This window comes from Homo sapiens, chromosome 15, assembly GCF_000001405.40.
Source record: "Homo sapiens chromosome 15, GRCh38.p14 Primary Assembly".
NCBI classification, from domain to species: domain Eukaryota; kingdom Metazoa; phylum Chordata; class Mammalia; order Primates; family Hominidae; genus Homo; species Homo sapiens.
The window spans coordinates 68,268,012-68,295,948 of record NC_000015.10 but is presented as its reverse complement, the minus strand read 5'-3'; the positions used below and the strand labels follow the sequence as shown (position 1 = coordinate 68,295,948).

Below are 27,937 nucleotides of genomic sequence, written 5' to 3'. Positions count from 1 at the left end.
ACTTTGACAACTTTAAGGCACTCAACAAAAGAACATCGCAACTAAGGCACACTGAATAATTAATAAAGACACAAACCTCAAAGTAGTTTTTTTCAAACATTTACTGAACACAAACACCATTTTTTCCTTTTACACAGCAAGATTGTTAGTTTCAAATTAGCTGAGTTATTAGGACTGTCAATTGCCATGAAACTAAAAATGACTCTACATGTCAAACTCAAATAGAAAATGTCATGCAATATATAAATCACTAATGGACCTCTGGTGCAGTCAGCAAGTTTACTATGTTTATTAAAGTCACATAAATGGTTTGACAAAAGTGCACAATAGAATGACATCACCGGTTTGTTATAAATCACAGTGAATTACTAGAATACAACAGTGTAGTTCCTCTGCACGGAGGATTGCAGGATGGGGTGAAAAGGACAGGGTCTTTTCCATCGATTAGGCCAGTCAGATTTTACTCCCCAACTGTGTACCTTTGAAAAGACTGTGAGGAAAGCTGAGTTTCTTTCCTCATCTTTTCTCCTCTACCAGTTACTAAGCAACAACAACAAAAAGCCATGCACAAATTTTACAACACCTGATAAAAAATAGATACAAAATCTTGTTCATTTCATCATTTGGCAAGCTTGCATCTTCGCTCCTTCACTTTTCTGATTAGGCCATTCATCACATGACTCACCCTGAATAAAAGCTGTAAATAATTTAGCAATACTTACCCCTATACACACATCAAGATACACTCCCCATAACCATCAAGTCACTGTCTCTTCCCTACACATTAACACAAAGGTACACACCACAAACCTAGAGACCACATTTACTTTACAGTTTTAAAAATTAATATATCTCCACTATCAATAGTGTAGTATTTATTTCAGATCCCTTATTTGGGGGAGGGCATGCTGTATAACCCAGCCCATCTAAAGATTTGGGCAAGTCTGCCAGAAATACATAAGAAAGCCCTGCAATGTGATAAACACATAGGAGTTTTCTACTTTCAAGAGATGACATCCAGAACAAAGCTATGCATTTTCAGAGTAGGAATGGACACACAGCTTAAAACCTCTGGACTAAAAATATTTCATAGCACAAAAGGCAGAGTTTTGTTTTCTTTAACCCCTTTTTAATGTTATATAGTCAGTGAGAAAAACAGAATAGTCATGTGTGCATCAACACATCTAATTTGAAAAGGAACATTTAAGATTCTTACAGAAAATCTATCATAAAAAACAAGTCCTTTATACTTTCATTCATTTACTCACTAATTCAGCCACTGGCTGTTTCTAAACCAGCAAACTAATCAAAGGTCTGGCAACTCACTCCTCATCCCACCCCATTCCAAAAAAAAAAAAGAAACGCTTCTGCTTAAATAACCCAAAGTGGTCTTATTCATAAAGTAGCTGCCTCAACTATAGTGAAAACTCTTAACAGGGTGTTGCTCACTTGAAATTTTAATTTTCAAAACATTTGTCAAACAGAGTTGGTATTTAGAAAGCTGCTGCCCCCAAATCATATTTTACTTCAAACAATGTTATCATACCTAAGTTCTCACAATTACCAATTATTAGTCCACTATTAGTATAATGAAATAAAACCCTTCTCAGAAACAAGCAGACCAAAGCTTACAGATGGTCTGCTTTGGGGTTTGGTTTATTTAAAATTCCCACAGCAAAGAACCTTAACGTGATTGGGCTGTGGGCTACTAGAGCAACCAGGGTGGACTGAAAAAGCTATGTTTTCAGTGTCAGTTCTAATGTAAAAATGTTCCCCTTCTTTATCAATCGAGGGGATGGGTTTGCCGCCCATTCCTTGAGTTAAATAGTTAACTTCATAGTTCAATTTTGCCAACTCTATCAAGTGCATAAAACCCACTTAAGTTTCTCATGATTTGCGAATGAAAACATCCACCTGGGCCTCCCTAGCTCATCCAGATTTATATAACAATTACTGAACAGGACAGAGAAGTTTTGGTTGAATCTGTAATACCATCAATGAAGATTTACAATTCAAAGCATAAGTATACCAATAGTAAACATCAAATGACCAAAGTGGCTGCAAAATGGAGACAGCCTAGAGTTCACAGAGGGCTGAGATATAGAACTATCATTTTCTTACCTATTTTCCTTTTTTAAAAAAAAATTAAGTTGGGGAAGGGTCTGGCTAAACATATTTTCAAACAATTCTACCAAAAACATTTTAAAAAAACAGGCATGTAGATCACTTATTTCAAAAATGATTTTATACAGGTGTTTCACAATACACATTTGGATTGATTTTACAAGATAGAATTAGATTCTCAGCAAGATACTACACAATTTACCACTATACTAAACAAACAAAAAATCTAATTACCATTAGCATAGTTCATAGTTTATTCCACTGTCTTCAAATTCGTTCTCCACCCTGTCAGCATTTCAATCAACAGTTTTACTTTCTTCAGCATTGTCTTCCCTTCTCAAAATAGAATGTCATTAAATTTTGATGTCTGAATATGTACATATAATCATTATTCTCATTTTATAAATAAGCAGTGTCTTAAATAGTGCTGGTCCTGGGTAGCCAAAGGGATGAAATGTGTTTTTAAAACATGCAACATTATCTGATATTTTAAGTTTTGATGTTTAAATAAAAATAATATACATTAATAATGGAACCAACTGAATACCAAGTATCAAAGCTATTCCTTAGACTGTCCAATAAGCAGGCCTTGTAGTTTGAAAAATAAAGGGTCTGATCTGAACTGTGGAAAAAGCATGATTCACTCACCTTGAAGAAGTGCATTTTCTCTTTCAGGCCACTGAGAGTTGCTAAGAGCAAGGTACAGTATTTCCTTGATTCATACCAGGAGGATCAAGTCTGGTAATTTTCAAATTAGGGCTCACTCAAATAAATACCTCCATTTAAGCCAACCTAAAAACCTTCCTTGTAAAATCTCAGGTTAGGAAAATAGGTATCTATTACCATGACAGAATTTACCATCAAAACCTTCCTAACTGAAGCAAGAAGACAAAGTATAATGATAGCAACTGTAAAAAGTATCTTGCATCCTTGGGGGATAGTCCCCCCTTCTGTCCCCTCCCATCCTTCAAAATATTTCATTTTGTGGGGTATCTCTATTTTATTTAAGGCCCTAGGGTGCTGATTTTGGCTTGGTCATTGTTTTATACTGATCCAACTGCAACCTTTCTCTTACACTTTACAAAGCATTATCCATATATAAAATGTTAATTGAAACCTTTTTTTTTAAGTTTATATCTGATGCTGCTACATCATTATAATGCTTTTCATTAAAGAAAAAAAAAAAGCTACAGGTCTTCACTTACAGTACCATGCACTATGAGTAGCTAAGGCATTCATTTGGCACTAGAGAGAAAATTACAGATACAGCTAATTTTGCTTTCATTATCATTTTTAACATCAATAGAAATAAGCATATAACTTTCACTTGAATTTCTGTAATGCTTAAAAGATAATCACAGAATACCCTTTTAGTTTGACAGTTACAATGTTGCCATTAAAACAAAACAAAAAAACCATAAAGACCTCTGTATAGCCTGTAGGAATAAGTGACATTTTGTGGTTGAAAAATTTGCAGCTCTCAGACACAATTACCTTTCAAGTGGCATTGAGAATTATTTTCATCATAAAAAACATGTAAGTTCCTATACCACACTAGTGATATTTCTACTTCTTGTCACAGACTAAGAAAGTGAAAAAATTCAAACATATCCTGGTTCCTTTTCATCTGTCATAAGTAAAATACCTTATTAGGGAGGCATAAATAATGCCTTCTGGAAAAGTAGTTTCCAAATTTTAAAAGATACAGGAGAAAAAGGGAAAAGGGGACAAAAATAGAATGTATAACTACACTGTGACAATTTGTTTCATAAGAAAACAGCATTCATAATTTTTACATGTCTATGAGCTGAATCAAATAGACTGCTGCAATTTAGATAAATTTCATTAAAATAGACTTTGAAGAATTCAAGCCTAAAGGCAGAGTCCATCAAGATTCTCTGAAAAGTTGGTTTAAGATGATAACCATTTTGTATATACTACCCAGCATAATGCAACAATTTCAAATGGATTTAAATTTATAAATTTGTAACTATTATTAAATTAGCACATTTTCCAGATTAATCTGCAGCTATTTTTTAAAAATCCTCCTGAATGCTAAAATGTGCTGCATCACTCCGTATAAATAATGGAAGAGTGTAAACTATCTACAGCAGTTTGGCATGTGCAGAACACCTGGATATCCCATTCCTCTTAATGTTCCTTTTTAGCTCTTTTTCTTCATAAAATCCTCAAAACTGCTGCATGGATAACATGCTGACATAGGCTTAACAGAAATACTTTTGTAAGCAGCTGTTTAAAACATTATCAACTTGAAATTATAAATGTCCCTTGTTACATAAACAAAACATTTTATATCTGTTCCTTTAAAAAAAAGAAAGACAAATAGGTAACCAATATGCAAATACCTTATAGTTACACCAAAACAATGTGGTTTTGTTAAAGTCTGTCTGAAATCAATTACCATGAGGCAAGAAAAACAAATACAGAACTAAGGAAGGATGGGATGGGAGGAAGGGTAGTGGAAAGAAAAGCAGAATTTATGAACACATAATTCTACTGTCTGTGATTAAAAGTCCTTTACTTTTTAGCACCACATTAAACGACTTTACATATCCAGTCACTTAATGAAATCCAACAAACTCTTCAAGAGTTCTGGGGATCTGGTCTTGGTAGTTAATGTCATTAGCCCGAACTGCTCGGGCAGCCAGGCACTTGAGACTCATCTTCATTTGAGTTTTAAGCAGTATTTCAGATACCCCAGTTGTACTTTTGTCTAGCGGAGTCTTATTCTGTTTATTCGTCATGTCAGTGTGAGCTCCGGCTTCAACTAGGCTAATGATGATGGAGTGCAAGGTCAAAAAATCACTGATGGGCCTGTTGTACTGAACGATAATATGAAGGGCACTGTTTCCCTCATTGTCCACGGCATTCACCTCAGCACCACAGTCCAGCAGGAGCTTTGTGACAAGTGCATTTGGAAAGCTGCAGACGTCATTGGTGTGGAAATCATCAACTGGAGTATTGGAATTGACAGCCAGATGCAGCAAGGTGAAACCTTCACGAGTTCTGGGATCAAGGTGAATCAGGTTGTAGATCTGCTTGTTAATTTTGCACTGATCTTCTTCGCTGCACTGTGTTTTGGTAGAGATGCACACTAAATACAGAAAGGTATAGAGATTACATTCATAATTGTCCATAGCATTGTGGACATCAGCATCTGAAATATTTTTCACTCTGTTCATACTTTGTTCTATTTCCAAAACACTGCATCTCAAAACACATTCTATGTCTGGGGCCTTCACAGTTTCATTCAAATGTATCATTTGTGAGAAAACTTGAGCAAATCGAAGAAGATCCTTGTGGGTGTTCCTGTTACCTTTTTGTCTGAGGTGCAGGGCATGAAGCCACAACTTGATACACTGCTCAAATTCCATATTATCCGCATAAACAGCTCCTCTGTAAATGATGGGATGAGAAACATCAATATTGTCAGCACCTAAAATCCGTTCCCGAACTATAAGGCCTTCCATATGAAGAGCATCTCTGTCTTGCCGAATGGACTCCAGTTCCTGAGGATTTCTACATTCAGTTCTATTCCCATAAGCATGGATTGGTGGAAGAACCTCTTTTTCGAGAATGTTATCACCATCTTGGAACCTCTCTAACATGGCTAAATATAGATAGTGGTATGTCTTTATGATGTCATAGTTCTCACGGTCATTTGCAAAGGAGGCACCCAAGAGTTCCAAAGCTTCAATCCGACTTCTTCGGTCGCAATCAGCATGAGAGAGTAACAGTTCTACGACATCAGCTTTACAGCTTTCGGCAGCTACTTTCAATGGCGTCATCCCATGGCCATTCACTACTATAGCAGCACGCCATTTTATCAGCTCTTTCACAATATCTATGTGCCCAGCTTCAGCTGCAAAGTGCAATGCTGTGGCTCCACAATGTGCTTTGGCATTGGGATCAGCACGTTGTTCTAAAAGGTATCTGACCACATCAGTGTGTCCCTTATATGCCGCAATCATTAGGCAGGTGTTGTCATATTTGTTGGCAATGCTGATGTTGGCATTATTTTCAACCAAGTATTTCACAATGTCCAGTCTGCCATCAAAGCATGCTGCCCGCAGGGGGGTTGAATTAGTTACTGTGGTATGGTTCACGTTGGCTCCATGGCTGACTAGAAGTTTAACAACTTCAAAATGTCCTGCTCCAGCTGCACACCAAAGAGCAGTGGCACCATCAATGACATACCTACACATGAAAAGAATAAGCAGTTAGATAACAGAGGCCACAGCCTAACATATGTTTAAGGGATGTATTCACTCCCACCGACCAAGACCTCACTCTCCAGAACATTAATAAAACATCAGTTCTCATGAAAATAAAAACAGGTAATTTAAGGAAAGCACTTTGCATAGTACTTGTACCTAATATAAAGCTCAATATATGCTAGCTATTACTGTTACTACTAGAGTATATAACCCTAAAAAACAAACCTGAAAAATCACGAACTTTCTACTAGCAAAAGTAAAGACACTTCAGAAGGCACAGAGGAAATGCGTGGAGGTAGCTTCTTCATCACCAAGTTGATTCACTGGTTACTAGGAGAACAGCATGTTCCTCCTTCCCAGTAGCCTCCAGGTAGCAAGCAGTTTCTGACAATTATGAAAGCCACCCCAACCCTACATTAAAGCTGTGTTAGACACTGCTTTAAGAAGAAAAAAATAAAGCAGGTAAGTTTCCCCTAAGCTAATTGAGTACTATACTACAGCAATGAGAATGAAATAATTACTGCTCCACACACAATATGAACAGATAACATAAACCTGATGCTGAGAAAAGAAGTCAGATGAACACAGCACATATTATATTATTACATTTACATACCTATCTGCAGTGTTAGAAGTGAGGATACTGGTTACTTTTGGGGAGAGGTAGTGAAATGGGAGAAAGCACAAAGGGGACTCTAGTAAACAAATATGTTCACTTTGTGAAATTTTTATATATTTATAATTAGTGCATTTTTCTCTAAGTTACGTTATGCTCCAATTTAAAAGTTTTAAAATGTATATGTATATGTGTGTGCATATACTGCTTGTCTGTGTGTTCCTCAATCAACCACTACAGGAAAAAAATACTAACAGCAGGAAATAATTAGCACTTTTGGAAAACCAAGCAGATATCTTCTCTGACATGACTGGACTTGTGGCTTCATACTTATCACTTACTTACTAAACATCTGATATGTGCTAGATTCACTACTTAACATACAAAATTAGACTATTGCTAGAGTCTGATCTTTCCCACCTTTCTACTGTCAATTTTTCCCCAACCTTAATTTCTAAATTTCTTACCACTAACCAAAAGACCTGATAAGTAGATTTTTGCTGGAGACAGTCTACTGTGCTAGAAGCAATAAGTACATTTGGAAGTGTTAAGAAGAAAGGTTGATCAAAGGAATATTCACTAGGGCAATTAAATATACACACCAAAAACCACACTAGTGAGCTTCTCACTATACAACCTTATAACACTGGTCAAATTATATCCCCCATGAAGTGGAAAAGAGAATAATGCTCCTGGTGCTATAGTTTGAATGTGTTCCCACCAAAATTCAGGTGTTGCCAAACGTGAATAGCATTAAGAGGTGATGTCTTGAAGAGGTGATTAGGTCATGAGGGCTCCTCCACTTGTGAATGAAATTAAGGACCACACACAAGAGGCGTTAGGCCTGGCATGGTGGCTCACGCCTATCATCTCAGTACTTTGGGAGGCTGAAGTGGGCAGATCACTTGAGGTCAGGAGTTCAAGACGAGCCTGGCCAACATGGTGAAACCCCATCTCTACCAAAAATACAGAAATTAGCCGGGCATGGTGGCACACGCCTATAATCCCAGATAGGAGCCTGAGGCAAGAGAATTGCTTGAACCTGGGAGGCAGAGGTTGCCGTGAGCTGACATCGTGCCACTGCACTCAGCCTGGGCAACAGAGCAAAACTTCATCTCAAAAAAAAAAAAAAAAAAAAAAGAGACGTTAGCAACGTTCCGCTGGCTTGCCTTTTCACCTTCCACCATGTGAGGACACAGGATTCCTCCCCTCTGGAGGATGCGGCCCTCACCAGACAACTGAACCTACTGGCACCTTGATCTTGAACATTCCAGCTTCCAGAAATATGAGAAATAAATTTCTGTTCATAAATTACAGTGTCAGGTATTTTGTTATAACACCACAGAACAGACTAAGACATATAAATATCATGGTTTAACCCCAGTTAACATCACCACAAAAAACAATACCCTTTATCACTTCTACTGAAAATACTCATTTTATAATAATTTAAGCAATTACTTCTTCAGTTTCAAATAATGACACAAAATGTTTATAAACAAAAGCCCTCTCAGTAACAGTGGCTACCTACAGAGAAGAGGCTAGGACTGGCTGGGAAGAGACTTGAAGGTACTGGAAATGTCCTACATTTTCATCTGGGTAGCAGCCACATGGATATTTAGGGAAAAAACTCACCAAACTGCATACTTAAGACCTCTGCATTTTACTGTATGTAAGACATACCTCAGAAAAGATCAGAAGCCTCCTAAAATTATTTTTCAAATTTTTATTTTTAAAAATGCATTTGTTAATTGATTTTTTTTAACTAAAGAATGAATCAGGCCGGGTGCGGTGGCTTATGCCTGTAATCCCAGCACTTTGGGAGGCCAAAGCAGGCGGATCACCGGAGGTCAGGAGTTCGAGACCAACCTGGCCAACATGGTGAAACCCCGTCTCTACCAATAATACAAAAATTAGCCAGGAGTGGTGGTGGCACATGCTTGTAATCCCAGCTACGCAGGAGGCTGAGGCAGGAGAATCACTTGAACCCAGGAGGCAGAGGTTGCAGTGAGCTGAGATTGCACCATTGCAATCCAGCCTGGGTGACAAGAGCAAAACTCCATCTCAAAAAAAAGAATGAATCAAGAAAATAAGACACTACATCAGTGATGCCAACTATATGTTTTGCAAACAATTCAGTTTAATTAAAATTCACTTTTGTTATTTTTTTGTTATGTTTTTATTGTCATGATTATGTAAAGTTCAATAAACATTTATTTATTGTCAAAAAATAACACTTGCAACAGCATCAGAAAATACCAATAAATAGTAATAAATCTAATGAAAAATGCACAAGACTTCTACACTGAAAACTACAAAACACTCCTGAGATAAGTAAATCTAAATAAATGGGAAAATATTCCATGTTCATGATCCAGAAGACTCTATAATGTTAAGATGTCGATTCTCCCTCAAAATGATCTATAGATTCGATATAAACCAAATGAAAATCCTAGCAGGTTGTGTGGTATATGTGTGTGTGTGTGTGTGTGTGTGAGTCCAAGAGGTCGAGGCTACAATGAGCCATGATCAGGCCACTGCACTCTTGCCTGAGCAACAGTGCGAGAACCTCTCTCTAAAATGGGAAGGAGAGAAAGAAAGAACTGACAGGCCAATTCAAAAAAGAATATGGAAATGCAAACAACCAAGATAATCTTCAAGAAAAATAAAGTTAGAGGACAAACTACAGTAATTAAAATAAGTGCTGGCACGGGGACAGAATAATATTATCAACAGACCAAAAAAAAAAAAAACTCCAGAAATAGATTCACACATACAGAATCCCTTGATTTCTGACAAAGGCTCCAGTGAAATTCAGGTAGAAAACATGGTCTTTTTAATAAATAGTTATGGAGCAACAAGATAATCTATATGGAAAATAATTAACCTTGATTCCTACCTCACAGTACATACAAAAATTAGAGACACAGTATAGACCTATAGTGTGAAAAGCTTCTCAAAATAAAAAAAAAGCCATAGACTATTCTTAATGAATTTAGTGTTGATCACAATTTCTGGAACAGAATACCAAAAAAAAAAAAAAGCATTAACCGTTAAAGAAAAAGAAAGTATTTATTGGATTTCATTAAAACCAGAACTTCCATTCATCAAAAAACATTATAAACAAAGCGATTAAGTGGCCAGGTGCAGTGGCTCACACCTGTAATCCCAGCACTGCGGGGGGGCTAAGAAGAGGACTGTTTGAACCTAAGAGTTCAAGACCAGCCTGCGCGACACAGCAAGATCCTGTCTCTACTCAATTTAAGAAAAAAAAAAAAAGACTGAACAAGTATACTTCACAAAAGATATCCAAATGGCCCATAAGCATATGAAAAGATGCTCAAGATAATTAGTTAACAGGGAAATGCAAATTAAAACCAGTTTACCAATATACACACCCAGCAGAATAGCTAAATTTAACAAGACTGACAGGGCAATAATAAGTGTTGAGCAAGATGTGGCAACTGACATTCTCATTGCTGGTGGAAACTGCAAGTAGGAATGTAATTTGGTTGTTGAACTTTGGGGAAACTATTTGGCAATATCTGTTAGTTAAACATACACCTACCTGATGACCCAGCAATTCCACTCCTTGATATATACCAGATAACTAAATGCAAATGTCCACCAAACAACATACACAAATGTTCACTGCAGTTTTATTCATAACAGTCAAACACTGGAAACAACCAAAATATTAATTAATAGGAAATGGATAAACTGTAGTATATTTATGCAACGGAATACCACACATCATTAAAAAAAGAAACTACTGATACATGCAAGTACATGGATGAATCTCAAAGACACTGTGTTAAGCGAAAAAAGCCAAACAAAAAGAGTACATACTACATAATTCTGCTTATAGGAAGTTCAAGTACAGGCAAAACTAATCTGTGGTGACAGAAGCTGTATTAGTCCATTTTCACGCTGCTGATAAAGGCATACCCGAAACTGGGCAACTTACAAAAGAAAGAGGTTTACTGGACTTACAGTTCCACATGGGTGGGGAGGCTTCACAATCATGGCAGAAGGCAAGGAGCAGCAAGTCACATCTTACATGGATGGCAGCAGGCAAAGTGAGCTTGTGCAGGGAATCTCCCCCTTACAATCATCAGATCCCGTGACACTTACTATCAAGAGAACAGCACGGGAAAGACCTGCTTCCATGATTCAGTTGCCTCCCACCAGGTCCCTCCCACAACACGTGGGAATTCAAGATAAGATTTGGGTGGGACATAGCCAAACCCTATCAGAAGTCAAAATAATCATTACCTCTGGCAAGGAAAGGGAGGAAACTGAGAAGGGGCACAAGGGAAACTTTTAGAGTGATAAAGTGTTCTACACATTGATCTAGAGAGTGACTAGATGGATGTAAACATATTAAAAATTCATTGTACAGTATTGTACACAAGATTCATGTACTTTACTAGATATGATATACCTCCACTAAAAAAACAGATATAATTAAAAACAAAAATAGGCACAAATGACTTCAAAGAAAAATAGTTTAAATGAATACGAGTAATTTATACCAAATACTTTCATTTCAAGTAATTTCAATTTCAAGTAATTTCAATTCAAGTAATTTATACCAAATTACTTTGGTAATTTATACCAAATACAGTGCCAAGCACTGTATTCACTGCTGAATATGCAAAATATCTCACTTAATCTTCACAATAATCCTGTGAGGTAGGTACTATTATTATGCCCTATTATACTATTATATTATAGTTATAATATTAACTATTATGCAGATAAATAACTAAAAAGTTTATATGAGGGCTGGGCACAGTGGCTCACGTCTGTAATCCCAACACTTTGGGAGGCCAAGGTGGGTGGATCACCTGAGGTGGGTAGTTCAAGACCAGCCTGACCAACACGGAAAAACCCCATCTCTACTAAAAATACAAAATTAGCCAGGTGTGGTGGCGCATGTCTGTAATCCCAGCTACTCGGGAGGCTGAGGCAGAAGAATTGCTTGAACCTGGGAGGCAGAGTTTGCGGTGAGCCAAGATCACGCCATTGCACTTTAGCCTCGGCAACAAGAGTGAGACTCCATCTCAAAAAAAAAAAAAAAAAGTTTACGTGAGATTAAAAATACAAAAGTACTTGGAATACCATAAAATGCATCAAACGTAAGGAAACATAGTACACATCATTGTTCAAACATTTGTTTCAATTTAAAGAACGTTTCCAAACTGATTAATATAATAAAAAAATACAAAGTTAATACATAGTAACAATTACATAGTTACAATGTTTCCTTCCACTGGATTTGTTTTGTTTTGTTTTGAAACAGGGTCTTGCTCTGTTGTACCGGCTAAGTACAGTGGCACAATCACTGCTCATGGCAGTGGCACAACCACTGCTCACTGCTGCCTAGATCTCCCAGGCTCAAGGGATCCATCCACCTCAGCCTCCTGCATACTACCTTTTTTTTTTTTTTTTTTTTTTTTTTTTTTAGGTAGAGATGAGGTCTCACTATGTTGCCCAGGATGGTCTCAAATTCCTGAGCTCAAATGATATCCCCACCTAGGCCTCCCAAAGTGCTGGGATTACAGGTGTGAGCCACTGCAACTGGCCTGGTTTTTAAAACATATAATTATTATATGCCAGGAAACAGGAATCTAAACTACTTCAAACTCAAGAAATGTTAGATTAAAATAGGCAGTCACATTATCTTTAACCCTAGCAATAAACCTATAGGAAAAGCATTACCCTCATTTTAGAGATGAAAAGAGACAAAAAGTGATTAAAATATTTTTCTGATCTCAAACTTCTCAGAATCTATGATGTAAGAGTAAAAATTAAATTACAAGTATTCACTTGGTTTTTATAATGGAAACTACTTGGTCAGTTTAATATTTTTCCTGGTATAGTCTAATAATTTCCATTTTTTTCCCTTGAGCTACAGTCATTTGACAGGAGCCTCAAAAAAGTTCCAATTACCTATTTCTATTGAGGCAATTAAAAATTTTAAAGATATTCTATGACAAAAGAATTCAATGCAGAATGTTTCACAAGACTGGTCCTTCAGAAACATTAGCCTTGGTAAATTTAGAATTTCTACATCTAAATCAAAATATTAAACAGATTAAAGAGAATTACAATACTAACATTTATGACATTCCTCCATCTATAAAATCTAGCTAAAATTGTAAGACTATACTGCCTCAAAACAAAATACCAAATACATTTAACAGAAATTAAAGATAAAATAAAATTAATGCAGTATTTACTAAGTTCCTAAAGGAGAAGCACTATAAAGCAATGATCTTTCTAGGCCCAGTCCAAAATTACAATGCAAGTTCTCTATTATGTATTCATCTTCAAATCAAGAAACTATAATCTGATATTCACCTTTTCAAACAAATAGTATCCATCAGATGATGGAAACTTTTCACAATAAGAGATAACATTTCTGATCACAAGGCTGAGCTCATCTATTACCTGGTTCAATCTGAAATAGAAATGCCTGGTTCAAGCATTTGAAAGGGAAATAAAAATTCATTAAATATAAATGATCCACACTTTATTTTAACCAAAGTCCTTAAAAATCATGTATTACATGAAATGTAATCCCTTGAAATATATATTGCCAACGACTTTCTAAATGAAGTCAAATACTGGCATGCCCCTCATGCCTTTCCTCCGCCTCAACATTTATCAGAAGTATTAGTACTAGCACTGACTTTAAAAGAACAACACTCAACAAAAAGCCTCAAAATTCTCGGAGGTCCTATTCTCCCCATCCACATCAGCAAACCCCTTCAAGGACAGGTGGTCTCCACAAACTCTGGCAGAGAGCAGTCAGACCCTCAGAACTCAGGCCAGCACAATGTTTCATGGTCATATGACACCTCCCCCTTGTTCTGTTCCCTTTTTATAACATTCTTAACAAACAGCTTCCCATTATTCAACTAAGGGATCTTCTTTCATTCCCACTCATGTGACTTTTCTTCTTGTCCACTCATCTATATCAACATGGTATTCACATGTCACGCCACAAGTAAAATAATCTCAAATGTTACTCCTAAAAATGTGAACAAGAGGCCGCGCACAGTGGCTCAAGCCTGTAATCCCAGCACTTAGGGAGGCCGAGGCATGCGGATCACGAGGTCAGGAGATCGAGACCATCCTGGCTAACACGGTGAAACCGTCTCTACTAAAAATACAAAAAATAGCCAGGCATGGTTGTGGGCACCTGTAGTCCCAGCTACTCGGGAGGCTGAGGCAGGAGAATGGCATGAACCCGGAAGGCAGAGCTTGCAGTGAGCCGAGATCGCGCCACTGCACTCCAGCCCCGGCGACAGAGCGAGACTCCGTCTCAAAAAAAAAAAGTGAACAAGAACTCAAATATCAATGGCTTAATCTAGGTGGGTGGTCCCTTTCCCCTCGAGGCTCTATCATGAATCCACTTTAGTTTCCTAAGGTATTATAGAAGGTTTTAGGTAGAATAGACTTTTTAAAACTTTTGTAATATTTATTTTAATGTATGTCTTTCTCACGCACACACACAAAACACACAGCAAACCCATAATTACATGGGATGAAGCTAAGAAGTAAAACATTCTGAAGACAACTATCAAGCAAATAACAGACAATTTAAAGAAAAGATATTTATTAAGTAAACAGCAGGTTAGTGAACAATTTGGCCAAAAATTATGAAGCTAGCACGTGAATGACTAAAAATTAGAAACACTAATCTACTTCAGCACACAGCTGTTAATCCCTATATGGCCATGTGTCTCAAGTGCTGGCTATGTGTTTTTCAAAGGTCAGCCCCCAAGGGTCAAGTCAGCTTTCTATTGTTAATGTACTCAGGCTAACATTTTCACAATGTCTGAAACAAATGCAAAGTGAAATCATCACACTCTTTTTTGGTTCTAAAATCCTAAAATGACTGGGATAAACTGCAAAATAATCTCACAGAAGGTGTGAATGCACAGAGAGTACCAGGAACTTCAATATCTCTTTTATTAATTAATTTGTAAGCTTCTCAAAAGTAGAAACCTTAGATTTCCTGTACCTTACATTTCCTCCAGAACATGACACAGGCTAGGCCCATCACAAGCATTTAATAAGGACTATTTTTACATAGCAGCTAATAAATTCATAATTGTAATAATCCATAAGCTAAACTGATATACAGAATCAAGGAGATGAAATCTTAAATGATGGAAACATTTGAGATTGCAGTTTAACCAGTCTTACTCTTAGTACTTTATACAGGGATCACCAAAATCTGGGCTCCAGCTCTCTCCAGTCTCCCACAATCTCTTTCTTAATTGCCCCAACTTGAATCCCTTCTTGCAACAGCACTGAAACACTAGTCACTGCAAGGGCACCAAGCTGCTGCCCCTCTTCTTCATGTCCTACTACTATTCTTTAAAACACAGCTCGAACGTCACCTCCTCTGTGAAGCCTTTCTAGATTCCCCCCGGATAAAACAGCACTTCCTTTCCCTGTTTTCTCTCAGTAGTCCAAATGATTTCTACAACCCTAAATGGCATGGCATCTGCAAATACTCATTTGTGTTATTAATTTCTCTCCCCCCACCCAGACTGACATCCTCCAAGACAAAAGAGTATGTTATTCATCTCTGCATATCCAATCCCTACCACAGAACCTAGCACGCAGTAGGTGTTCAATAAATGTTTACTTACCGAACTCATTAATTTCTCTGGCCAGTACAGAACATTGGGCAAGATAAGCCACTACACAGGCTCAATGCTACATTTCTAGTCATTTCAGGTTCTTTTAATTGCCACCTCAAAACATCTCTTTGACGACTGAAAAAGATGGCAATAAGCAAAACCTTTCGAAATTCTTAACTCTTTTTTCTCCCCACTATTCTCCCTTATGCACATTGCCTCAGCAGCAGTATTCCCAAGCAGCTGTTATTACAGAAATTCATATCTCAATGACTTCATATGCCTATACAGGTGGAACGGTACTGGAGGTTCAGAGGTCACTGTGCTTCACTCCTTCTCTAGGTGCGGGAATGCAAGGAGTTACAGAGAAGACACGAAAGCCAGTAAGGAAAAGCAAACATGAATCAGGTTGCCATCTTTGGTCAACATGAAAAAAAACATCTCCTTAATGTGTATAATGGTGATACCCGTGATATAAGCCATTGCCCATGGGCTACCATTTCATTAAGATGTAATGCTATGAATATTTTCCACTCATCTAAAATAGAAGAAAAAGCTTTTATTGTTTAAACCTAAAAAAGAATCAACCGAAACAGAACATTTCCCTAGTCATCTTAAAGAAGAAATGTTTTTTTCAGTCGAGTTTTAGCCAGGCAGTTTCTAATCACCAAAAACTAAAGATATATATTTTTATGCTCAGACCCTACTGACTTCAAAAGAAAAAAAAAATGCTAAAATAGCTTATGTACTACCACAAGTCAACCAAAACATATGTAGCAAAATCGTTATACAGTTGTAATCTGTAAAACGTGTTATAATCCTCCAGCATAGAAAAGAGGATAATGTCAAACCTGACAATTCTGGTCAAATACCCAAAAATTCGTACAATTAAACTCAAAGGGCAAATCTTAGGCATAACAATGTGCATTTTTAAACTTCCCACCTCAACTAACAGTAAATGATCAAGCTTCCCCACAACATCACGGGATAAGATGTAATTTAAGAATGGCATCATCTCCCACATCAGGTCCAATGCCATCTTAGTAGCCAATATATCTACACCGAGCAACGTGGAGGAATCAGAATCATGTCTTGAGATGTCTGGCTGCGTGACAATCCCTCATGATGCTGCAGCTGCTGCTGGTTCTAGGTGCTTATTTTGACATTAAAGCCCAGCAGCCCACTGAAGGTTTTACGGAACCACTCACTTGAAGGGAGTAAAAATGGATGCCCAAATAACTCTTTCGGAGTTCTTCAATGTTAACCGCTGACCTCCTTAATTTCTGATCAGTTACATCACCAGTTCCACTAAAAGTAAAACCTGGAAAGGCAGCCACCTCCTCCAAATGGCTTGTTCACAGACTATCTAGTAGAGAAGACGACTATTAGATTTCAAGGCCGAGGGTGTGGTTATCTTCCCACAGAGGGAATGAGGGGTAGGGGCTGATGAGGACGGGCAGCAAAACATGGGATGGATTATTAGCCCTGGAAGATGAAGTGGGCATTAGTGGGGCAGGAGGTGGTACAAAAAGGGGAGAAGTGAGTACCTACATGAAGAGAGGGTAAGAGAGGGTGAGGGAGGGGAGGGCCCGTGAATTAACGAGTCCGCGCGCGTCGGAGAGAGGCTGGCTTGGGATGTACCTACCCGTCGAAGCGGACGGTGCCAGTCTGCTGAGTCTGCACCCGGTAATGTTCTAAGAGCAAGCGTACCACCTTTGCGTGTCCATTGCGGGCTGCGATGATGAGGGGCGTGGAGCGCTGCCCTCCCTGCTGGCTGACATAGCCAAGCAGATAGCGGATGTCGCTTTCAGACCGGTTGAGAAGCAAGGCGGCCAGAGTCAGCACCTTGCCCTCGCTGGCCGCCTTGTATACATAGCCAGCCAGGCCCTCCATGGCCGCCGCCAACTCCAACACCCGTTTGGTCGCCACCGCTGCAGCTGCCGTGCGCCCCCGGAGGCCGCGTTCGCCAGCGCTTTAAACCTGGGCCCTCACAGCCCATTCAACAGGGCGCCGTCGCCGCCGCCGCGCCCAGGCAGCAGTGCGGCCCAGGGAAGGCGGAGACGCAGAGGAGGCCGAGTGCCGCGAAGGGCACGTCCGCGACCCAGCCCGCGCAGGGAGGAAGGCGGTCAGGGCCGCCCGCCAGGTCCCAGGCGCCGGCCCTGGACCGAGGGGATCTCCATGGCGGACGCCGCCCCGGGCCTCAGGCCGGACCCCTCCTTCCTGCGGGATGCGACAGGCGCGTGCCCGAGCTACGGGTCGCCGGCCGGGTCCCGAGAGGACCTCGCGCACCCCGGATGGCGAAAGATGGGCGCGTCTCTCCTGACCCGGCCCACCCGGCCTAAGGCCTAACACTGCCTCCTCCTGCGCTTTCCGCCCTTCGCCGTCCCTGACTGGAGGAAACCTGCAGGCTCTCGTCCGCCGAGCTCAGAAGTGCCAGGCGCTGCCAACGGCCCCGGAGATCCTCGCGTAGGGGCCCCCGGGGCGATGCGGAACGCTCCCGCAAGAGCGGCGCCGGAACTTGGGCGGGGAGGAAGACGAGCTTTCGCAGACAGGGCCGGGAGGAGAGGGCGGGAGCGGGAGGGACGCTAAGTGGGGTGTCTCCGCCTAAGCCGACCGGCGGGCACACGCGGGCCCGGTAGAGAAAGGTTCTGCTGCGCGTAGTTGGCCCATCCCGTTTGGGCCTGGATGTCCTCAATGTCCTTGACTCCTGGAACCTCCTCCTGGCCCCTAAACGGCCCTGAGGGTCTCCAGCCAGGGAGTGGGGGCGGAGTGAGGGCGCTAAGCTGATGGGCTAAGGAGACCACCCTATTTTACTATAGACGGTGCGGGTCCTGCTTCTGCCCCTGAGCCGGGGTTAGGGAAGGGGTTGCGCGTACTCGGAGGGTCCATTTCAGGAAAAGGGCGGCGTTTCTGAGTTCCCGAAATGTGGGAGGGCTTGAGAGCCACAACACCAGGCTCTGAGAAGGGACTGGAAGTACGGCCTGACTTTCCCGGAGAAAGGGGTTAAGTGTGAGAGAAAGATGGGAGCGAAGGGGAGCTGCGCTCGCGGTGGAAGGAGCGAGGTATCCTGGGAAGGAAAGCGAGTCCCGCGTTCAGACAGAGCAGGAATCTCATCCTGAGCCGGCAGAACCTCCGTTTTCTCACAGACATCACAAGATTGTTGTTAGGATTTGAAACGATCGTTTATCCAATGAATATTAGAGGTCGACTACGTGCCAGGCTCTGCTTAGCACTAGGGATTCAGTAATGGAACAAATAAGTCAACAAATGATAGACAAGATCAGTTGAACTGGTATCATTACCATTTGCTCTGAAGCAAATGAAATAGAATGATGGGGGCACTCATTTAGTTTGGGTGATCAGACAAGACCTCTATGACAAGTGACAAGAACAGACGGTATTCTAGGCAAAGGGGACAGCTAATATAAAAGTCCTGAGGAGGGAACAGTCTGGTGAGCTCGGAAACAGAAAGGTCAGTGTGGCTGCAGCAGAGTGGGCCACAGTAAGAATGATAGATGAAGTCAGAGGATGCAACACACGTTAGGGCCTAATAACCCATAGCAAAGGGTTTAAGTCTACTCTGTGATGGGGGCATTTGAAGGGTTTTAAAGAGGGAAGTGACAAGATGCTATTTGTGTTTTTTAAAAAGATCACTCTGGCTGCTGTATGGAGAATAAACTCTGGAAGGCAAGAGTAGATAGGGGGACAGGCCTTGGATTAGGATGGTAGGAGTGAATGGTAGGTGATGAAGCTTCTGGGACAGTCTCAAAAAACTCAATATGAAAGTGACTTCCTCCCTCTTCCTCCCTTCCCCAAAGGACAAAATTTACCATAGAGAAAGAACAAATGCATTTATGTGGCTCCAAGGGACTGGGCTCGGCTCAACAAGTTCACATACATTATTTTATTTGAACCCCACCATTCCAATTCTAGGAGGTAAAGGCCTCACTTCCATTGCAGCTATTGGTGGAGGTGTGGGTCACTTCTCAAATTCTCTCCATTCTACAGCTCAGCTTTACCCACTTATTGCAGATCCCTACAGAAACACGAGTTATTTTTCTCCTTACCATAAACAAAAACAGCATTGGCAATAAGGGCTGAAGGTAAGATTCTACTGGTAGCGTCTCTGAAATAGCTGATAGAGAAGTGGGGGAAGCTGGCTGGTTTATTTGGGGACTTCAGGGTCATGAAAAAACCCAGTGTTTGACAGGGACCCAGGCTTTTTGGTCTCGGATTCACACATTCAGATGTGTGATGACTTCCTTTTCTGGCTCCATACGGCAAGCATGCACCTCATCTACCATCTGTCTCCTCTCTGCCTTTCTATCTCTCTCTGTCTCTCCATATCTCTAACTCCGTCTCCCTACCACCCTCCCTCTCCTCTGCCAACACACTTTGATTACCTGGGCACAAGCTGACCTGGAGGAGTGCCTGGCTCTTTAGAAAAACCATCTCCTCATAGCCTTTTACCCTATTATGTTCCTGAATCATTCTACATTCTATTCCGAACCAACTTTCTGAAGAAGGTGATGTAAAAAAGTCCAGACACAGGCCCCTTCTTCCAGTTTTGTTTTCTAAGGGAGACCTGATTCATCCAGACTCATTGCTGAATAAGAGACTCCCTTCTTCCTCGTGCCCTCTCTACCTCAGTTTGGTGGTATAACTGGATGGGTACTACAAGGGGTGACTGCTCCAAGGGTCAAGCTAGAGAGGGGCTCAGAACTTGCATTGTGTGGCCTCCATCCCAAGATGGGAATACCTCTTTGCTCCAGCAGCCCAAAGTCAGGAGGTTTGGGCTGCTGTTTTCTTCTGTGTTTATCAAAGTTGCTTCGTATAGGCTTCTGGGCTCCCTTGGTTTCTTAATAGCTATTGGCTGACTGGAGACTATTTAGTTGCTTGTTTACCTGGGCTTAGAGGGTGACGTTTCTGTGGTCAGGTTGTGCAAATCTGGAGAGAGGATATGTAAACAGGACAAGGCTGCTTTCCCAAAGGCCAGGGCCCAGAAATAGTTCCTTGTGCTTCTGACCTATTTCCTCCTCCCTGGACAGAAAGCCACTGAGCAAATGTGCAATAGTAAAACATAACTACAAGTAGCTATATCCTGATGGAGATTGATTTGCTGATGACAACAAACTGCAGCCTTCCACCTGGAAATAAGGCAGGACTGACCTTTCCCCGCACTTTGCTTCCTAGGCATTATAGTGGCCTATGAGCAGAATTTGCCATGCCTTCCATGGAGCATTCTTTTTCCAAGTCAGGTCAATCCAGCCTGCAGCTGTAAGTCAATGAAGTTCCTCAGATAAAGTGCATGCAAAAATGTTATTTTTCAAGCACCAGTAAAGACACTTGTTTTAATCTTATACCCCTTGCACGTACTATAGAGGAAGAGGGTGACCCTTAGTGTTGAATAGATCTGGGTGGGATTTCCATATCTATGGACAAGCTGTGGCTCTGGGCCAGTTTCTACATCTGTACAATGGAGTCAAATCTTTTCCTTGCAGGGCTGGTGTGATGGGAACATGCCAGCTTCTTCACCAAGCCTGGTCCTATGAAGGGGTGCCTCAGTACATACTAGTTTCTCTTTCCTCTTATTCCCCTCCTGCCCACCTGACAAAATCCTTCTATTTTGCCCACGTTACAAAACTCTTCTATTTTGCCCACCTGGCAAAATCCTTCTATTTTGCCATTAACCTGCTCAAGAAAGGACTTTGTCCCCATCTGCATTTTCTCTGCAAGAATGTGCCCGCCTCTAAGAATGGAGAGTAAACCCATGGTATACAAGGGGCTGGGGAGGCTAATTCACAAGAGTTCAGAAATTCCAACAGAGCTGCACAAGGATGATGTCAGAAATAAGAGTGATAACTCAGAAACCAGTGACAGTCTATCAGCCCGGTTTCACAAAACTGGCAGCCCACTGGCCTCTGCCTCCTCTGCCTCCCACTCTCCTTGCCTTTCCCTGAAAAGCAAATCTAATGATTGGCAAAAACAAAACCAAGGCTGGAGGAGAGGGGGTGGCTAGTCTGTGTTATTTTGCGAAGCCATTCATCTCTGCCAGATTTAGGTTTACCAGGAAAGTAGGTTGAAATAGACGTGTGTCTGCTTTGTTCTAACCCCATTCTTCTCTGGATAGTGGTACCAATCGGTATCCTGGGCTTATAATGACAGAAATATGTGTGCCAGGCATCACAGTGAACATTTCACACAGATGAGCATGTTATATTTACACAAGCTTCTGAAGTACATGCCATTATTATCATTCCCATTCTTCAGATGAAGAAACTAAGGCAGAGAGCTGTGGAGTAGCTTGTCTGTGGCCTCATAACTGGAGTGTGGGAGAACATCAGGATTTGAACTCAGGCTGTCTGGCCACCTCCACCCCACCTGCTACCAACCTTCTGTGCCCTCTCAGTTCTCCCCACCCATCATGTTCTTTGCAGTCAGGACCCCAGCTTTAGGTGCCCAAAGCTTTCTGTGGTCCTGGTCACTTCACTTGGGCTAAGGGGCCAATTAACTTACTGAGCCATCCCATGCCAATGGGGAAGGGCTGGAGGAAACCCCACCACCATCCCACACATAGTCTGGACAGCCCTCACTCCTACCCCAGGAGCACAGATCCACATCCAGAGCAAATGCCATCTCATCCTGGACATCTTCCTTGATTTTGCCCCTGAGGTCTATACCACTTTATACCTCTCTTGGGACCTTTGCCTCTTTCCAAAAATTACTCGTGTCTGTACAAGATTTCATAGTCTCCAAAGGCCTTTCCCATCCACCTAGTCCAGCTTCTTCCCAGGCCTTTTAACCTCCTTCTATCACTGGGATGGCATTCAGCATGGTAATTCAGCACCTGAGCTCTGGAATCCAGCCTGCAGCATCCTAACTTCACCACTTGCTAGCTGTGTGCCGCTGGGCAAGGTACTTGCTCAACTTCTCAACATCTCGGTTTCCCTATCTGTGAAACTGGGATAATAATAATGTCACCCTTATCTGGTTGGAGGGTTGAATGAGATAAGCATACAAGCATACACAGCACCCAAACTCAGTAAGTGCTGGCTGCTGTTATCATCTCACTAAATCTTCTCCCAAAACTCCTGTGGGATTAAACCTTCCCACCACCCTCCCACACACACTCTGGTTCTTGTCATCAGTAAAAATGCATCTGAACCAGATGACCTTTAAGCTTTCTTCCAGCTCCATCAACCTATGATTCTACCATGAATCACAGTTATTATGGACACATTTTAACTCTTTATGCCATAGCAATCTCCTGAAGGCCCAGCCCTTAACATAGGGCCTTGTATACAGTTGGCTGTCCTGCCAGGGTGATGTTAGCACCTAACAATAGTCCTTGCCTCATCCACGCACTGGGATGAACAAATGAGGAAATTCCTATATAGCATTTAGTCCAGTGCCTGGCACTGAGTAAGCCCCTAATAAGTCATGGTTTCTATTATTATCCCATCTGATACTAATAAGATTCCCAAACATGGTCATTAAAAGCATAGGAGCCACACTGGGTGTGGACTCATCCTAGTGCTGATCCTGTGAGACCTTGAGCAAGTTAATTCACCACCCCATGCCTCAATTTCCTCCTCTGTAATATGGATGTGATTATGAGTAACTTCCTAATAAGGTTGTTGTGAGTTAATAGAAGGGCACTTAGAATTGTGCCTGGCATCTGCTTGGTATATGTAAGTGCTTTTTGTCATCATTTACAGATGTCAGCGGCACCAAGGGACATCCCCAAGCAGTAGTGGAGTTGGGATCCAAACCTAAGCTTGACTGATTCCAGAGCCTCAGTGCTAATATTAGGAGATATTGCTGCCCTGTGTGATCCCATGCATTTCAGCAGGAGCCTCCTTGTCCACTCCTTTCAGTTGTCTTCCCTGGCAAAGGAGTTTTTATAATGGTGATTTCAGGATGGGAGGAGGGTGAGTCAGCACCAGAGAGACCTAAGGATGCCCTCAAATCATACCACAGGAGAAGCAGCCTTCTTCTCACCTGTGTCTGGTCGTATCACTTTAGCATTCCATCAGGACCTGGCCCAGAAGCCCAGAAACATGGCAACACCCACACCTGCCATCTAGCCTGGAAGCTGCAGCGAAACCCTCAGCACTCACGCTGATGTCACATTTGAGGCTAGTCCCAGCTCTTCCATGGAGACAGGCCCTGGCCTTGAGGCCATTTCCCATTTCTGAGGCATGATTCACTTAGCAGACAAGACCAGACAGACTCGTTCATGTTCATACCTACCGGAGGAAGGAGAGGTGGGTGGTGGATCCAGGGGGAGAAGAAAAACAAACGGGGTTAGGGCTGGCAGGACTCTCGCTGCTGGGCTGCAGGGGCGGAGCAGGCAGGCAGAGCGCCTGACTTAGGAGCCGTGCCCAGCATGGCCACCCACTCACCCATTTATCTTCCTTGCAGTCAAATGTATTGATTTAAACAGGAATCCGTCTGTGCTTCTAAAGCCCCAGAAACGCACTTACATCTCACGTGTAGCACAATGATTTTCAAAGAGGTTTCCCACAAATAATTTTAATTTGGGTTACTTTTTAAATATTTGATTCTCTTATTAACAAAGCAACACATGCTTATGAGGAATGCTGGGACAACTTTTCAAATGTCAATTTTAAATATATACAGAATTATACCACCAGCAATAAGATTTTCAGTAAATTTCCCACTAGTCTGTTTTCTGAGTCCACAGACATATATAGTTCATGAAACAAAATTGGAGCCATACCACACAAAGAGTTCCATATCTTTTTTTCTTTTCATTTAACATAAAGTCATTGGCATTTTTCAATGTTACCAAATATTCTGCTACAGCAATTCATAATGGCTGCATTTATCAGAATAGATGTGTTATAATTTCGGTGGCCATGCCCTGATTGTTGGACTTTCAAGATGTTTACGAAAATATTACTATTAAAATAACAGTGCCACGAACACCTCTTTACTTGTATTTTTGTCTGTATATCTGATTATGTGCCAATAATAAATTTCTAGTAATGGAATTACTAGCTCACAGGATTTGAATATTTCTGAATATATCTAGCCAAATTACTTTCCAGAAAATACATCCAGTTTACACTCCCCCGGCAATGTGTTCGAATGTTCTCACTCTGTTTTGAGCTTGTGAGCCAGTGAGTTAGGTAACAAGGTCTCATGTTACAGACGAAGAAAACTGGGCACAAAAAGATTAAGTAGCCAGCTCCAGTTCGTACAACTGAGATCCAAGCCCTGGCCTCCTGGAGTTAGTGTCAGGGGCCTTCCAGACAAGGAGAGCTCTGAAGAGGTTTCCTGACTAATGGAGTTGGATAGAACTTTCTTTTTTTTTTTTTTTGAGACGGAGTCTCACTCTGTCACCCAGGCTGGAGTGCAGTGGCGACATCTTGGCTCACTGCAACCTCTGCCTCCCAGGTTCAAGTGATTCTCCTGCCTCAGCCTCCCGAGTAGCTGGGATTACAGACATGTGCCCCTATGCCCAGCTAATTTTTATATTTTTAATAAGTAGAGACAGGTTTTCAGTATGTTGGCCAGACTGGTCTAGAACTCCTGACCTCAGGTGATCCACCTGCCTCAGCCTCCCAAAGTGCTGGGATAATAGGTGTGAGCCATCATGCCTGGCCGCCTTCTATTATTTATTAGAGACATTAGTCTGTAACTTCTCCTTTTTTAATAACTTTGATATATTTTTATATTAAAGTTATGCTGGCCTGAAAGTTGAGATATTTTCCCTTTTTTCTCTAGTATTTTCTTTGAGGGAAGGTTTCTAATTATGGATTAAAGTTTTTAAAGTAGATGTAGGTATATGTACATTTTGTACTTATGTTCATTTTGGTAAATTGGGCTTCTCAAAGAATTGATTCACTTCCTTCAAATTTTCAAATTTATTAGCGCACATTTTTTATAATATCTTTTTATCATTTTAATATCTGTAGCATCTGTTTTTATAGCCTGCTTTTTTCATTCCTGATACTGATAATTCATATTTTCTCTTTGTTTTTCTTAGTCTTACTACTATTTATCAATTTTTTTTTTTTTTTTTGGATACAAGGTCTCACTCTGTCACCCAAGCTTGAATACAGTGAAATGATCACAGTTCACTGCAGCCTTAGCTTTGGCTCAAGCGATCCTCCCACCTCAGCCTCCCAAAGTGCTAGGAGTACAGGCATGAGCCACTGTGACTGGCCTATCAGTTTTTTTAACCTTTTCAAAGAATGAATGTTTGGATTTATTTTCCATATTGCAAATTTTTTTCTATTTCACAGATTTTTGCTCTTTATTATTTCTTTGCTTTTTCTTTATTTGGTCCTAATTTGGTTGCTCTTCTTTTAGATTCCTGATTTTCAATTCTTAGTGTTTTTGTTTGTTTGTTTTTTTTTTTTTTTGAGATGGAGTCTTGCTCTGTCACCCAGGCTGGAGTGCAGTGGCACAACCTTGGCTCACTGCAACCTCCTCCTCCCGGGTTCAAGCGATTCTCCTGCCTCAGCCTCCCGAGTAGCTGGGATTACAGGTGTGCACCACCATGCCCAGCTAATTTTTGTATTTTTGGTAGAGACAGGGTTTTACCATGTTGGCCAGGCTGGTCTTGAATTTCTCACCTCAAGTGATCCACCTGCCTCAGCCTCCCACAGTGCTGGGATTACAGGCTTGAGCCACCTCGCCCAGCCAATTCTTAGTCTTTTTTTTTTTTTTTTTTTTTTTTTGAGATGGAGTCTTGCTCTGTCACCCAGGCTGGAGTACAGTGGCACAACCTTGGCTCACTGCAACCTCCTCCTCCCGGGTTCAAGCGATTCTCCTGCCTCAGCCTCCCAAGTAGCTGGGATTACAGGTGTGCACCACCATGCCCAGCTAATTTTTGTATTTTTGGTAGAGACAGGGTTTTACCATGTTGGCCAGGCTGGTCTTGAATTTCTAACCTCAAGTGATCCACCTGCCTCAGCCTCCCAAAGTGCTGGGATTACAGGCATGAGCCACCTCGCCCAGCCAATTCTTAGTCTTTTTTTTTTTTTTTTTCATTTCTGATATATACATTTAAGGCCATACATTTTCCTCTAATCACTGTCTGGCTGACATCCTACAGTTTATAAAATAAAATTATATGTGTTTATTACAAGAATCAAATTAAGAAATTGTATCAGCTTCTCTAACATACTTATTTACACAGCAAATATAATATACCAAGATGATGCAAACCTTTCAAATATGTCAAGCCACAGTTTTCTTTGCTTTTTTTTCTTAGTTTAAAATATATTGTTGTTCTTCCACCTTATCTTTGTTTTCATAAGTGGTTTTTCTCTTATCCTGCCTTATAATTTTGCTAGGTTTGGTGATGTAGGAAATCAAAAAAGGATTTAGACAAGAACAAATGAAGTTATGGTCCGAACAATTTTGAAGCAATAGATTTACATTTGAGAACTTTTAGTTGTAATGATCCTGCAAGTTTTGGTTTGTTGTGTTTTCATTATTATTCAGTTCAAAATATTTTCTAAATCTCATGTGATTTTTTTCATTTTATTCATAAGTTATTTAGAAGTCCTATCAAATCTCAAAGCGGTGGGGGATTGTATTATTAGCTACATATGACAGATGTTTGGCTTAATTCCACAGTCGAAGAACACAATCTGTAGGATTTCATTCCTTTGATATTTGTTGAGGTTTGATCATGTCTCAGCATGTGGTGTATCTGTGGGAAATGTTCAATGTGTACTTGAGAAGAATGTGCTTTCTGTACTTGTTTATAATATCTAAAACAAAAGAGTGATTATCTTCTAGGTTATATAAAAACTCAGGCAAATCGGTAGGAAAAAAAAATGCCACAGGAAACCCTATAGAAAAAAATGGCATAGGAAAAGAACAAGCTATTCACAGAAGCAAAAGCCCAAAATAGAAGAGATACTCAAATTTATTAGTAATCAGAGGAACGCAATCACAAGATACCACTTTTTATACTTGGACGTCAGAATGGTAAAAATTAGATAGGCAAAATCAAATGTTAGTGTTTATCACAGAGAACTCACAAAGGTTTTTAGGTACAAAGACCTTCCTCATGGCTTTATCTGAGTGGTGGGGAAGTGAGGGCAACTTAGGTATTCATTATCACAGATGGAGAAGAACCATACGATGGATGCTCACTCTGGGAAGATTGGTTAGTGGCTCACCAAGTCTATCTCCTTTTCTTCCAAGACACACAAATAGACTACATTTTCCAGTCTTCATTGCAGTTAGGCACAACCATTTGACTGAGGTCTAGTCAAAGAATATGAATGGAAATGATGTTGCTATTCCAGGCC

The 27,937-nt window shown here is 40.8% G+C and overlaps 1 protein-coding gene across 1 annotated transcript, besides 5 other annotated features; it reads right to left on the bottom strand.

The window, feature by feature from the left end:
• FEM1B (fem-1 homolog B) lies at positions 87–18,204 on the bottom strand. Its single transcript, NM_015322.5, has 2 exons — positions 17,284–18,204; positions 87–6,342 (listed from the first exon to the last, which is right to left on the bottom strand). The coding sequence occupies exons 1-2, from the start codon at positions 17,529–17,531 to the stop codon at positions 4,707–4,709; spliced, it is 1,884 nt and encodes a 627-aa protein (NP_056137.1). The 5' UTR covers positions 17,532–18,204; the 3' UTR covers positions 87–4,706.
• Positions 9,960–10,461: an enhancer, noted in NCBI's record as "NANOG hESC enhancer chr15:68577826-68578327 (GRCh37/hg19 assembly coordinates)". NCBI's record gives its function as "activates a minimal SCP1, AML or CMV promoter by ChIP-STARR-seq in primed H9 embryonic stem cells {active_cell/tissue: H9 hESC(primed)}" and the evidence as "EXISTENCE:reporter gene assay evidence [ECO:0000049][PMID:30033119]".
• Positions 17,307–18,208: an enhancer, noted in NCBI's record as "H3K27ac hESC enhancer chr15:68570079-68570980 (GRCh37/hg19 assembly coordinates)". NCBI's record gives its function as "activates a minimal SCP1, AML or CMV promoter by ChIP-STARR-seq in primed H9 embryonic stem cells {active_cell/tissue: H9 hESC(primed)}" and the evidence as "EXISTENCE:reporter gene assay evidence [ECO:0000049][PMID:30033119]".
• Positions 17,365–17,564: an enhancer, noted in NCBI's record as "active region_9644". NCBI's record gives its function as "activates an Ori minimal core promoter by ATAC-STARR-seq in GM12878 lymphoblastoid cells {active_cell/tissue: GM12878}" and the evidence as "EXISTENCE:reporter gene assay evidence [ECO:0000049][PMID:35858748]".
• Positions 17,595–17,924: a silencer, noted in NCBI's record as "silent region_6586". NCBI's record gives its function as "represses an Ori minimal core promoter by ATAC-STARR-seq in GM12878 lymphoblastoid cells {active_cell/tissue: GM12878}" and the evidence as "EXISTENCE:reporter gene assay evidence [ECO:0000049][PMID:35858748]".
• Positions 22,616–23,815: an enhancer, noted in NCBI's record as "P300/CBP strongly-dependent group 1 enhancer chr15:68564472-68565671 (GRCh37/hg19 assembly coordinates)". NCBI's record gives its function as "activates an origin of replication core promoter dependent on BRD2, BRD4, P300/CBP, MED14 and CDK7 cofactors, with strong dependence on P300/CBP, by STARR-seq in HCT116 cells {active_cell/tissue: HCT116}" and the evidence as "EXISTENCE:reporter gene assay evidence [ECO:0000049][PMID:35650434]".